The sequence below is a fragment of the Homo sapiens genome, chromosome 2 (genome assembly GCF_000001405.40).
Source record: "Homo sapiens chromosome 2, GRCh38.p14 Primary Assembly".
Classification (NCBI taxonomy): Eukaryota; Metazoa; Chordata; class Mammalia; order Primates; family Hominidae; genus Homo; species Homo sapiens.
In genome coordinates this window covers 111,194,999-111,195,865 of record NC_000002.12, presented here as the reverse complement: position 1 = coordinate 111,195,865, position 867 = coordinate 111,194,999, and the positions used below count along the sequence as shown (strand labels likewise).

Below are 867 nucleotides of genomic sequence, written 5' to 3'. Positions count from 1 at the left end.
TCCATCTCTCTTTTTGGATTCAGCTGTCAGGTATACTTTCCTTAATAAGTCTCTGTGAAGTGACCTGGTTGGATATGCTAGTTTTCCATTTTATAAATACCATGCACTCATGAAAACATTGTAGAAACATATTCAAGAACATGGAAAGATGATCACTGTAGAATTCTGAGCGGAAAAGAAGTATATTATGAAAAGTATGCAGTGCAATGATCCCATTTTGCATATCTAGCTAGCTAGCCATCTGTCTTAGTCCATTTGAGCTGCTATAACAAAATACCTCAGACTGGGGAATTTATAAACCATAGAAATGTATTGCTCACACTTCTGGAGCTTGAGAAGTCCAAGATCAGGGTGTCGGCAGATTCAGGGTCTGGTGAAGGCTCTCTCTGCTTCATAGATGGCACGTCTTGCTGCTTCCTCACGTGGTGGAAGGTGTGAACAGCTAGCTCCCTCACACATCTTTTAGAAAGTGATGAATCCCATTTGTAAGGGCTCTGTCCTCATGGCTTCCTCACCTATTGGCAATTAAGTTTTAAGGTGTGAATCTTGGGGGTACACATTCAGACCATAGCACTAGCTACCTATTTTTTGACCTGCCTACAAACATGCATACACAATACCTTCAAAGAGATACAGCATAATGTCCACAGGGGCGATCTCTGTTTTATTTCCTTTTTTTGTTTGTATTTATTTTCAATTCAAGAGGTGTGTGAATTCTTATTTATGTAAGGCTAAAAAAAAAAGACAACAAGAGGTATTGAAGGAGCTAAGATCCCCAGGGGAATAAACCAGCTAGTACATCTGCCCTACTGTGAATTGAAACCGCAGCCTCTCAGGCAGGCCACACCGCAGGGAGGGACACTTGCT

At 41.3% G+C, this 867-nt stretch overlaps 1 annotated feature.

Annotated features, from left to right (window-relative positions):
* Positions 778–867: a silencer, noted in NCBI's record as "silent region_11867". NCBI's record gives its function as "represses an Ori minimal core promoter by ATAC-STARR-seq in GM12878 lymphoblastoid cells {active_cell/tissue: GM12878}" and the evidence as "EXISTENCE:reporter gene assay evidence [ECO:0000049][PMID:35858748]".